At 38.5% G+C, this 12,978-nt stretch overlaps 1 protein-coding gene across 6 annotated transcripts in view; it reads right to left on the minus strand.

The window, feature by feature from the left end:
- TEC (tec protein tyrosine kinase) overlaps positions 1–12,978 on the minus strand; it is a 134,056-nt gene that overhangs the window by 25,414 nt on the left and 95,664 nt on the right. For all 6 annotated transcript variants that reach the window (NM_003215.3, XM_047416106.1, XM_011513737.3 and 3 more), the window contains exons 4-8: positions 10,172–10,253; positions 9,052–9,180; positions 7,390–7,430; positions 6,582–6,757; positions 2,506–2,571 (exon numbers count right to left, since the gene is read on the minus strand). In NM_003215.3, the coding sequence (NP_003206.2) occupies positions 2,506–2,571; positions 6,582–6,757; positions 7,390–7,430; positions 9,052–9,180; positions 10,172–10,253 (494 nt within the window). The remainder of the gene's footprint in view (positions 1–2,505; positions 2,572–6,581; positions 6,758–7,389; positions 7,431–9,051; positions 9,181–10,171; positions 10,254–12,978) is intronic.

Consider the following 12,978-nt stretch of genomic DNA (forward strand, 5'->3'; position numbering starts at 1 on the left):
GAGGTAGAACAAAGGAAAAACATAAAACCAACCAGTTATACATCTTAGCTTGTTCTCTAATTCTGCCCTTCTAACTATGCCACCCACTCAAAGCCTTTATCCTAAGCTTTTTCCAGTCCTAAGGGCGCTTTCATTTCTGTCACCTTCTCCCTTTACCATCTTTCCACCAAGAACATCCTGTTATTAACCATCACAACGAATCTGCTTTCTTTTCCAGCACTGATCTCTCCGATCTTCTCCTCCCTACACTGTTGACTGGGTATGGAAGTTAGAACTAGGTTACTGATAACACTAGGAGCTGCGGGCCTGGAAATCCTGAGTTCAGCCCAGTGACAGTCTGTGGCCTGGGATTCCTCCTGGGCCCAAGCAAAGAGAACTATTCACTCCACAGCTGCCAGAGGCTTTTTTTTTTTTTTTTTTTAATACTTGAGAACATTTAAGTTGTTGTGATGGTTAATATTGAGTGTCAACTTGATTGGATTGAAAGATGCAAAGTATCGCTCCTGGGTGTGTCCATGACGGTGTTGCCAAAGGAGATTAACATTTGGGTCAGTGGACTGGGAAAGGCAGACCCACCCTCAATCTGGATGGGCACAATCTAATCAGCTGCCAGCACAACCAGAATAAAAGCAGGCAGAAGAACTTGGAAAGACTAGACTGGTTTAGTCTTCTGGCCTACATCCTTCTCCCGTACTGGATGCTTCCTGCCCTCGAACATTGGACTCCAAGTTCTTCAGCTTTGGGACTCAGACTGCCTTCCTTTCCCCTCAGCTTGCAGACGGCCTATTATGGGACCTCAGCTTGTGATCGTGAGTCAGTACTCCTTAATAAACTCCCTTTTATATATACATCTATCCTATTAGTTCTGTCCCTCTAGAGAACCCTGACTAATACAATTGTGTTACAGGGTGGGCTTTGGCCAAAACAAAACAAAACAGAACATGGAGTAGGAAGACAGAATAGGGTCTCTGCCTGCCCACATGGGAACAGGTTTCCCCTTGGTCATCTACTGGGCATGGTACAAAGGCCATGTGGATTCCCTGGCCTCTGAACAGAATGCAGTGGCACTCCCACGCTGGAGGCTGAAGTACAGAGTTATGCAGAGGAAGAAAATTTCTTGGAAGAGAGAAAATTTCCAAATTAAGGTACATTTGAAACACTCGAGGCCATGAATCATAAACTTCAATATTGAAAAACCTCAACTGAAATCACATGAGTCATAAAAGGAGTTCTCATATTTAGATAAGGATTATCTGGCTTCCAAGCATCCTCTTTCCCCAAATTCAATCAGTTCTCCACGCTATCGCTTTAAAACCAGGCCCAAGTTTTCACCTTTTAGCACCTTCCCTAATTCTAAGGATTTTATAATTTTTCCAAAAATCTATTTGACTTAAGGGCAGAAATGCTACTTTATTTATACATTGTTTATACTCTCTTCTACTTCTAAAATTACTTTGAGAGATCACATCCACTGAGCGCTGTGGCTTTTTGAACTTGTTAACCCTTTCCTAGATGTTAAGGTACACTTATGGTATAGCAAGTGACATGAAGAGAGGAACAGCTTGTTGTTGCTATTGTTTTCAAGGAAGTGAATGAAGCATCAATACACCACCTCAGAATGACCATAAAAGAGCGTTCAATGTATATGAGCCTCACGTTACAACTTGGCCACACACTGCTAGTGGGTATATAAATAATACAAGTTATCTGGAAAGCAATTTGACAGCATGCGTTGGGAACCCTAACAATGTTCACGTACAGCCTGTAGCCCAGCACATAGATTTTAGAGATCCAGTTTAAGATAAGAAACAAGACGTTATCCCATTTTTTTTTTAATATAGCAAAGGTACCTAAAACAACCTAAACCACACAAATAAGGAAATGATTACATAAATTATTGGACATCCACGTGCCATCTGCCTGGTTATGTCTCTAAGGCCATACATAATGCTTGATACATGCTAAGATCTCAGTAAATATTTAATAAATTTATGATCAAATGAAATAAAATGTAGCTAGGAAAATGTTTTCAAAGAATATTAAAGTGTATGAGGAAATAAGCATGATTCTATCTTTTCAAAAATAGTAAAAAGATTGAAAGGAAATATACTAATGCTGACAAAGGTCAACTCTAATTAATTTCAGTAATTTTTTCTTATTAACATTTCCACTCTGGAAACTGTTCTGCTTATGTCCTGAATGAATGGACATGATCTGTATTTCAAAGTCAGCTAATCTGTGATTTATTTCAAATCAATTCAATTATGCTTATGTAATTTATGTACATAAGCCTATGTAACTCCATTCACACAGTACCTTCAGGAAAAATATATTATAGAGATTAATTCTCAGTCTTTTACCACATCAGGCAATTGAGTTAAGGATATTTTAGCACCCCCTTCAAAGAATCATGAAAGATATCCATTAATCTTCAAAATGCCTTACATAATTAGGAAAATGAAAAGTTTCTGATTTTCCACATTCACAAAATAAACATTTACTTACTCATATTGATCTAAGTTGTTTGATTTCTTTCCCGTTACGTAATTACTTGGGATATATCCTTCATTCCTAGAAATAAGAAAAATACTTTAGGTAAACTTACTTTACTGGGAGGTTATTGAAAGAAAGAAAGATTATTGCCTTTTGAAATAAAGCATGACATTGCTTAAAGCTTATTATAAGAAAGACTAGCTGACCCCCCAAAATGCAGTATCTGTAATTCACTTGACATTTTACAAAGTACTTTCACTTTTGGTCTCCATAAAAATTCTGCGGTAGGCAGGCATTATTGTACCTATTTTCTGGTGGGGAAACTAAAGCTTAGAAAGGTTATAGGATTTTTTTTCCCAAAGGTCCTAAAGTTAGCCAGCAACAGGGCCAGAACTCAAACTCTGGACTTGTGACTAGCTCCTGTGCTCCTCCAACATTCCACAATACTTCTCCAGAATTCACAGTTTTGCTGATATGTGTTAAAGAAACCATTACTTGAGAAAAGTCAAAGTGTTGGATTAAAAATACCCACCACTCTAATACCTCAATAGTTCTTATAGAATAGTTTCACAAAGGATAATTCCTGGCCTTTCGGTCAGTATCATTTGGGGCACCTGTTAAAACAGCAAATTCTTGGGTCATAACCCAATAAATGTGAACTGAGAAGACCTATGTGAGGTCAAAAAATGTCCGATTTTACCCCAAATGACTTTCACACACATCACAATTTAAGATGCACTCTTATGTAAGTAGGAGCTAAGGTTTTCAGCATAAGAAAACAGATATACATATAAAATTTAAAAATTGAGTAGAAACCTTATAATCTTAAATTTGAATTTAAAGTATTAGTAAGAACTCATAATACACACACACACACACAAATGTGTGCATACAGGTAGCTCTGTTGCACTGAGAAAGGCCCAGAAGGAACGGCAATCCAGCAGCAGTTAAGATCTTAGCATTGCCACTGTCTCTAAATACCATTTGTGACTAAAAGGAGCCAGTCCCCCTTAGAAAAATGTCAAATTGTGTCCAGGTGCAGTGGCTCACGCCTGTAATCCCAGCACTTTAGGAGGCCAAGGCAAGCAGATCACTTGAGGCCAGGAATTCAAGACCCGCCTGGCCAACATGGCGAAACCCTATCTCTACTAAAAAATACAAAAATTAGCTGGGCGTGGTGGAACATGCCTATAATTCCAGCTACTTGGGAGGCCGAGGCACAAGAATCACTTGAACCTAGGAGGCGGAGGTTGAAATGAGCCGAGATCACGCCACTGCACTCCAGCACTCCAGCCTGCGAGACAGAACGAGACTCCATCTCAAAAAAAAGAAAGAAAAAGAAAAGAAAAGAAAAATGTCAAATTGTAAGTTTGGCCAGAAAAATAAATACAAGATAACTTGAGCCATTTCACTGAGCCAGAAAGTAGGAAAGAAAAACTAACAGGATCCTCTACCAAAAACAGCCACCATCGACCTAATTTGGCCAATTCAAGCAAAGAGAATAATGGTGGCAATGGATTGGAACCAAATATATAAGTATCCATAATAACACTAAAAATAAACTGTTGGTTACCATTGTTATCACTAGAGAAAGCTCAGTCATCAACTCATTATTCTGAAAACTAGTAAAAGTTTAAGAATCCAAATTTCATCTTTCCTTTCCTTCATGAACTAAATGAACTGGTATATGAGGCAGTTCTTCTTTAGAGAACTACTAAATGCAGATGGAATGACAAAATTAGGAAATCACCATTTTGTAACCCCTAATGAAATAATGACTCTAAGAAAGAATCATTAATGAACCCCCAAATCATCAGGGTAAATACCAATGAAGAACTTTATGACAGAGGAACAAGTCTGACACCTGAACCACTAAGCAATCTTAGCATTACTAAAAGTAGGACATCCAGAGATCACCTTCTAATGTGATCAAGCCTCTAGCTCTACTCGCCAGTTCACAAGAAATACAAGAAACACAGGCATATTAAGTGACACCACAAGAAAACAATCTGTTTCATCTAGATTATGGCTCATTTTAGTGTTAAATGACCTGCTTTCATCAATAAATCAAAAATGTAGAATAAGAGAAACATAAGAGATATATTAACCAAAATGCAGTGTGTGGGTCCTGATTTGAATAAACCAACAGTAAAAATAAGTATTAGAGCTAATCGGGGAAACTGGAATTACATAATTGGTTCCATCCTTAGACCTGGGCCAGAGAAGCTCTTGCTCTAACCCCACACTTTTGAGAGCTCTGCAAAAGTGCGTGTTCCCTCTGACCTGTGTTCCCATGCTCCTTTCTGGGTAACTAGGACCCCAGAACACCCTGCTCATTTCCAAGGTCTACATGGGCCTTCTACTGGGTCCATCTTCTAAAAAACAAATTGTGCTGGCTGGCCATGTGCATTCCCTTTCACTGAGGCTGAAGGTGTGGCCATGATGCGGGGTAGCTTTTGCAAGCCACGCAGTAAGAGTGTGGGTGTACAGGTTGGAAGATCCATATGGTACATGAGAGATAGAGCCAGGGCAGGAGGGAAGAAAGAAGAGAGGTAGCCCCCCCAGAGCCAGCTTTCCATGCACTGCAACATTCTGGCACAGAGCTCTAAATCCAAACCGTGCCTTTCTTGTCACTATGAAAGGGTATTTGTCAAGTTGGAGGATAAAGTTTGCTAGCTTGATTTATAACTCCTAAATACTTAGATATATGTTATGTGGATTCTCATTTGTACTCTTCCTCCAGGTACAAAAATATTAAGGGAAAGTCTACAGACGATCTTATTTAAAATACTGTTATTAAGAATGATAATGACATGGTGGTGTTTTTTTTAAGTCTTTAGAATTTAGATTTAGGAGTGAAATAACATGATGACTTGAATTTACTTTTAAATATTCTAGAAAAAAATGGAAGGATTAGACTGGCAAAATGTTGGTAATTTTTGAAGTCAAGCAAAAAGAGATTCTATTATACTATTATATACTTTTTGGATGCTTGAAAATTTCTACAACAAAAAAAAATTAAAAATAGAAATCAATCTTATACAGCATCCGATAAAGAGAAGCAGTGACAACCTTCCTGTAAACATGGAATAAAAGGTTAAGAGTTGCAAATAAGTTAATAATGCACAGCAAAACAGCACTCATATATGCACCATGCCTAGGAATCAAGCAGAAGAAAAGGACCCCGCCTAAACTAGAGGTTTCCACTGCTTCTCCAGAAGTGAACTGAGGAACAGTGACTTGAAATTGGGGCTGGGGCTGGGAGGTGAGAGGGCAGGTGGAAGAAGAGTGTGCTCTGGCAGGACAAAAAGTTCTCCTCTTCTCATCCACTGGAACTCAGAGTATAAGTGGGATTGCACTGCAGAGGTAAACACAGGATACAGAGTTTGCTTATGAAGCCTGCAAGATACTCATCCCCTACAGTTACCCCTATCTGCCCATATATTTATCAATGATAGGGTTGAAAGGACTGTTTTCTTTAAATCCTAAATTAACTTGTACAAAAAAAAGCTTGCTGTTTAATTTCCTGCATGTACATATATATATTTTATATATACATACACAAACACATATACACACATATAGACACACACATATACATATATATATATTCTCTTATTCCTCCATATATTCATGGAGAGAGAGAAAGAAGTGAGAAGAGGCTTCATTATACTGTGTATGTGTATGCATACACACACGCACATACACATACGTATATATAGAGAGAGAGAGTCTAAGAAAAAAATTACAATAAACTCTTAGAAAAATCTAAGATTACTTACTTATGGCAGGTGGGGACAAAATATAAAATTTAATTTCCCTCAAGGTCAAAATAATCACATTAAACATGTATCAGATGAGAAAGAGACCAATGTATTCTAACTTTTGAAAAGAAGTGATTGATCAATTCGCATTTACTGAGTGACCACTAAGAAAGGACTGTGTTACTACCAAGTAATAAGGTGTGCTTCCATTTATGGCTGGTGAAATTAGTCTCATTACACGATAGTTACGACTTATCTACTTCTCACTCAACACTTGACTCCCACCTACCCACTGCATATCACACACATAGAGGGAATACTTACCCATATTTATCTCTTGCTCTCCACCAATGAACATCATTCTTTTCTAAAATGAGATACTCTTGGCCTCTCTCTAATCTGAGATCATGTCCTTCTGCTGCTTGGAAATCATACATGGCTACAACGATTTCTTCACTATTATCTTCTTCTTCTAGTGGAATTGGTGGGGGAGGCCTTCGCTAGACAAGGAAGATAACATTTGAAAGTTTAGTCTTCTATATGAAACTGATCATGAATCAAAACACTAAATGAGTCATACATCACCACAGAATAAACTAGAAACTTCAAGTCTACTTACTATAATCCAACAAACTCTCATGAAGAAGAGTATTATAATTCCTGTTTCATAACTAAGGTAACAATGATTTAATTAACCCACTCAAAGTCACTCATATCAGATCAAGTCTTGAATGAGTCCAAAGTGCATGTTTCCTCCACTATACCCCACTCCTGAAAGGCATATCATTATATCAGTGAAGTCACTTCTTTGTCACACTGTGGTCTTAAGACTGAAATATTTATCTAAATCCCACTCCTCTTAATACAACTCTTTAAGTGAAAATAGAGGCAAAATGCCAGATGATAACAGGATCTCCAATGATAAAATCTCATACAATTAAATTGGTATTATTTGACACCACAAAAAATTGAAATAAGCTACAGCACATCTGCTTCTGAGACGATCCTAGGGAAAAATTGTGTCACATCAATGAATAAACCGCATACTCAGTAAGTCACAAACACTACCAAAACTTAAGACTTAAAGGCTTAAAATGTAAAGATTAACTATCAAAAGCTAAAGACCACCTACCTTCTTTGTTTCTGGTGCTGGAGGTAGTGCTTTTCTTATACCTGAAAATGCCAACAACAAAAACAGATTAAAATGCTATCTACCAATAATTGATAAAAATAAGATATGGGTAGTTTTAAGGAAAAGTGGAAGTTAACACATAGACAAGCAGCACACTCTGACCAACTCTGGTGTATGCTGCTTGTATCTCTATTCTAGAACAGAATTAAAAACTGCTATTATAGCTGGTTTGTATTTCTGCCTTTCTGAACGCACAATAAATGCCACAGGGATTGAAGCCAGGCCAGTTCTTTGTATTCCTACCACTGCATAAACTGGGCACTCAATAATGCTCATGGAATCAAACATTGAAATCATGACAACACTGAGAAATTAATCAGCTTTGGCTGTCCATTCCTCTACAGTCCACAGTCCTAGAGTTTTGGCTGACACATGGCTACCCAAGATAAAGAATGTTTCCCAGCTAGGTGTGGCAATGGGACCAAATTCTAATCAAAGGATTCTGTGTACAAATGGGGTGTGCCATTTTTAGATCTCATCCCTAAAAGGATTCCCCATGGGCATCCTTGACCCCCTTCTTTCTGCTTCCAGGAAGAGAGAGACTGCTAGAGCTGGAGCAACCAGAGGAACCACTGCAGGAATACCCCCAGCCCCGGGTCACCCACCTTTCACCTCTGGGTTATTACATGAGACTGAAATAAATTTCTCTCTAGTTTAAGTCACTGTAACTTTTGGGTCCCTTTTTACAGCAGGTCAGACTGTGCATTCACTAATACCAAACCTTAAGACATTAAAAAAAAAATAAGGAACAATAACAGCCTTAGAAACTTGGGCTTCCTCTTTAATGTGCTAAGTTAATGTGAGGATATCCCAAGAGAATCAGGGTGCCAGGACTCATAGAACTGAGGGCTAGATGGACTGAGAAGGTCATCTGATCTGGCCTCGTTCATAATACAGCATCCCTGCCAAGTAGTAGTTCTGCTCATATCCAGAAGCTCTGTCAGTTCTGATGGACCCAGTGAGCATTCTGCATGGCACCAGCAGGAAACGGTATATCCAATCATTACTATGGGTGTCCTACTACAGCACTAGTAACTTAACAATCTCCACGTATTTTTAGCTTATGACTAAGGGTCTCTCATTCCCAGGATTTATAAAGGTTTTAGGTGTCAAAATTAACCTTAGACATTGTTCATCTCAACATTTACATGTGAGTATCATTATGACATGTTACTGTTCTAACAGACTGAAGCCACTACTGAAATCCATACTGCTATACCCCATCAAAATGAGAACAGCCCTAATCAGACTGTGGATGCACTGCTACATGAGGTTTCTAGCTCCACATCTTGGTTTATTTGTTGAAGAACATTAATGCTTTTCAAAGCTGCTGACAGTGCCACATTAGGCTCACACTTTCAATGGATTCATTTTGAACAAGATTCAATATTGTGATAAAAGCTTCCCAAAATAGACCTTCTGATTCCACGAGAAGGTCTCACTGTAACTAAATATAATTTTTCTTACAAAACACACCTACCCTACATTTTCACTGTACTAGAAAGTGTGCTGTACTTAATCAAAACCATGTCACTTTCTTACCATACCAATAATACGTTCATTCTAAGCACAATATAATTATGGAATAAAATGAATACTTACTGCTCTCAAAAAGATTGTATTTTTCACATCCGGGTGCTAATTTTTCAGTTTGTCTACAACACTGATAACTTCCATCTGTCCAGAATTTAGGATGATATTTAATCATAATATTATTGTTGTTCTTTATTTCTGTAATTCACAGATATAGTAATTAATAGTGAAATACAAAAGCAACTACAGAATGTTTCATAAATAACAGTGTCGATCATTACTTATTTCTTGGACACTATGTTTACTATAAGAACGCCCTTAGATCACAGGACTCAGCATTCAGAAAAGCTCTATAGTTCTCTTTGACCTCTTCTTTTTTTGTGTGTGAAGCACCCTTGTTAGCAGAAATGACTGCTGCTACACCAATGATGGATAAATGCAAAAGTCAACCTGCCACCATTTTGTTCTTCAGGAGAAGCAATGAGGACTATGCAGGACAAATCATCCATTTAAACCCTTCATGAATATGTCATTCCATCCACACCAAATATTGACTACATGGGCACTTTGTTAGAAAATACCAAATCCTGGGCCGGGTGCAGCGGCTCATGTCTATAATCCCAACACTTTGGGAGGCCGAGGTGGGCAGATCACCTGAGGTCGGGAGTTCAAGGCCAGCCTGGCCAACATGGTGAAACCCTGTCCCTACTAAAAATACAAAAATTAGCCGGGCATGGTGGTGGGTGCCTGTAATCCTAGCTACTTAGGAGGCTGAGGCAGGAGAATCGCTTGAACCCAGGAGGCGGAGATTGCAGTGAGCCGAGATCACACCACTGCACTCCAGCCTGGGTGACAGAGTGAAACTCTGTCTCAAAAAAAAAACAAGAAAACACCAAATTCTGTTATCATAAAAGCTTGCGCTTTATCACCTTCAGATATATTACACATTAAATGAGAGCGTGCTTTTCTTAGAAACTATATGCTACTAGAAAAAAATCAGATTTTAAAAAGGAAAGTTATCTTCAATATGCTGGTATAACTTACAACAACAGCATATCCTTGGAGAAACACTTACTGTAGATTAAGAGATTACAAATGCAATAGATACATTAGCTGTATTTCTGTCTTAATGATAACAATATTACATCTCCTAAAATTATATACAGAGTAATATTTCATTGAGTTTTACCTTCTTTTAACTTCTTCACCCACAGGTCCCTGCTTTGTGGACTAGGTGCAAAAATGTAAAGTGTGTTAGCATCATGAACAACCTAAAATAAAACAAAAGATGGAATTGGTGAAGAGGACTTAGACACAGCACTTCTGTCTAGCACAGAACCCTTGGTACTACAGACACCAATAAATGATTCTCAAATAACTGAAAGTCAATAACTTCATATCCAGAAAACCCAGGTTACTTTCTTACAAAAGCACAAGTACTTCTTCATTTCTACATTAAGTAGAATACACGTTTTGCAAAAGACCATGTTTTATAGAAAAAAATATAAAGGCCAGGATACTTCATTAATCTCAGTATTTCTTTCAATCCAATTAACTAAACTGTAACAGAGATTCAGTATTTCTCTAAATAATATTTTAGATGAATGGACTACTCCTTCAGCATCACTCTTATAGTTTCCTTTTGCCACTATCAATAATTGCAGTAGCTAACTGGATTAAGCACCGACTACGCCAGCACTGTGCTGTGTGCTTTACAGACCTTAACTCAATTAATCCTGCCATCAAGGTACGAGTTTTTCTATTTTATAAATGAGAAAATAAAGGCCTACCCAGGCCCCCACTCCTGTGTAACTTCAGCAGATACCACTCATGCACCATGCACTGCAGATGCTGTCCCCTGATGTTGCACTGCCTAACCTGCCCATTGCCATTTGGCTGGTAATCCAGAAAGCCAGAATTCAGACTCCAGAGCCCAGCCTCTTAATCACAGTGCCTCACTTAGAGGTAGTCCTTGGTGGGCAATTAGACAGTCTTATTTTTAACATTTCTAATATTATTAATAAGATAACCCTGGGAAACTAAGCCAGAAATTTTTTCATTTTATTCTTCATGGTCAGTCACAAGGCAGAAATCTGTTTAGACTGGCTAAAAAGTTAATACATGGCTAGAAACCTCCCTTTGTCACGTCCACACCCACTGGATTGAAAACCAAATAGCTCTTTCATTGATAAATGGTTATCACTGACCATATTCAATAGAGAATTCCTTCTTATTCATTTAAATCAAAGGAATGTACTTTTTTTTTTTTTCTTAGAGATGGGGTCTTGCTCTGTTGCCCATGCTGGATGGCAGGGGTGGAATTACAGCTCACTACAACCTGGAACCCCCTCGGCTCAAGTGATCTTCCCACCTGAGCCTCCAAAGTGCTAGGATTACAGGTGTGAGAGCCACGGTAACCAGCCAGAAATGCACTGTAATAGTAATGTGAACACCATAGAACAAATGATGCTATATACCATTCGCACCTTGCTGGAACTGCATAAGACACAAAAATGAATCGGACATGAAGCCTGTTTCTAAGACAAATATAGAAATACCTTATTACAAGACAGAAAGTGAGCCATGATATCAGAGCGATAAAGTGCTAAAGGAGATGTGAAGAGATGTGTTTCCTCATTTGCTCCATGATTTTCACATTTATGCAGGCTTGCCCACACAACCAACTCTGTACAGAAGGAACTATGCACCGTGAACTAGTCATTCTGAATTGACATTGAGATGTCTGGAAAAGACTGCTAGGGCCTTGGACCTTCCAGAAACCTGTGGTGTATTGTAATAACAATTTAATTTATTATAATAATTTACTGAGTCCCCACAATTGGGCTAAGCACTTTATATGCACTGCCTCATATCATCCATACAGCAATCCAGTTCTTTCTTAGTGTTAGAATCCTCTTTTTTCAAATGACAAAACCAAAGTGGCTGAGGTTAAGTCATATGAGTAGGATATTTAACCCCCAAATATCCCTTGACTATTCCCCTCCTGGAATCTGCCTTTCCAGACTCCAAGCAGTCTAACTTCCCCACAAAACTCATCTCGTGTCAGTACCGTGAGCCTGTGAAACTTCCTTAAAGTTTGTTAGACTAGCTAACCGCCTCCCCCCACCAAAAAAAACCTAATCCAAATTCAGAGTTTCGATAACTAAAACTAGCTTGATATATTACCTAGCTAACTTGGGGCATTTGTATTTCTACGAGAAGTTTCTAGGAATAGCACCCTGTTTTGGCATCTCAGGCTGAAGAGGTATTTGTGGGCCAGTATCTCCCTGAGCAAACCTCAGATCACACAATGTTGGCCTCTTGGGGAGAAGGATCCAGGGAGCTGTGTTTCTCTCTGCCTTAATTCTTGTGCTGAGTCATCCTACCACAGCAGAGGCTGTTGGGAGGGAAGAGCTTTGCAAACTTCAAGTGCAGAAACCATTTAAACAAGGAGGGAATACTCTCCCTCAGTAACACTACCCACTGGTAGTTACCCACCCTCCTATTTATATCTTCCATCCACTCATTCATTTATTCCATAGACTTAATAGTGTGGTGTAGGAGAAACAGCACAGACAAAAGGTAGACAGATCTGGGTTTGAAGCCCAGGGAAGACATGCCAGCTCCTGGGGATCTCCCAGCTGCCATCAGAATGACTCATCTAGAAAAGCATGAAGGAGCAACCATCCCATCTAGGCAGCTGGTGTGGATTCCCCACCATTCTCTCCATCCGTCCTACTTTCTTCTCCCAGTGTCTTTTGAAAATGTCTACTTCTACTTTTATTGTTTTCACTTTGCATCTGAACCTAATGTAAAATTTCACTATGAAAATGTGAAACTAGGATCTATACTTTCTTAGTTATACTTAAGTTATAATAAGAGAGGGTATTTTTCACCTTTTAAATCATGCTGCTTTAAATTGTATAAAGCTCAAGCTTATCCCTTCTTGATTAATTTTTCAGATTGTTTTCAAACTTTTCTCATATTTATTCATCT

The sequence above is a fragment of the Homo sapiens genome, chromosome 4 (assembly GCF_000001405.40).
Source record: "Homo sapiens chromosome 4, GRCh38.p14 Primary Assembly".
Classification (NCBI taxonomy): Eukaryota; Metazoa; Chordata; class Mammalia; order Primates; family Hominidae; genus Homo; species Homo sapiens.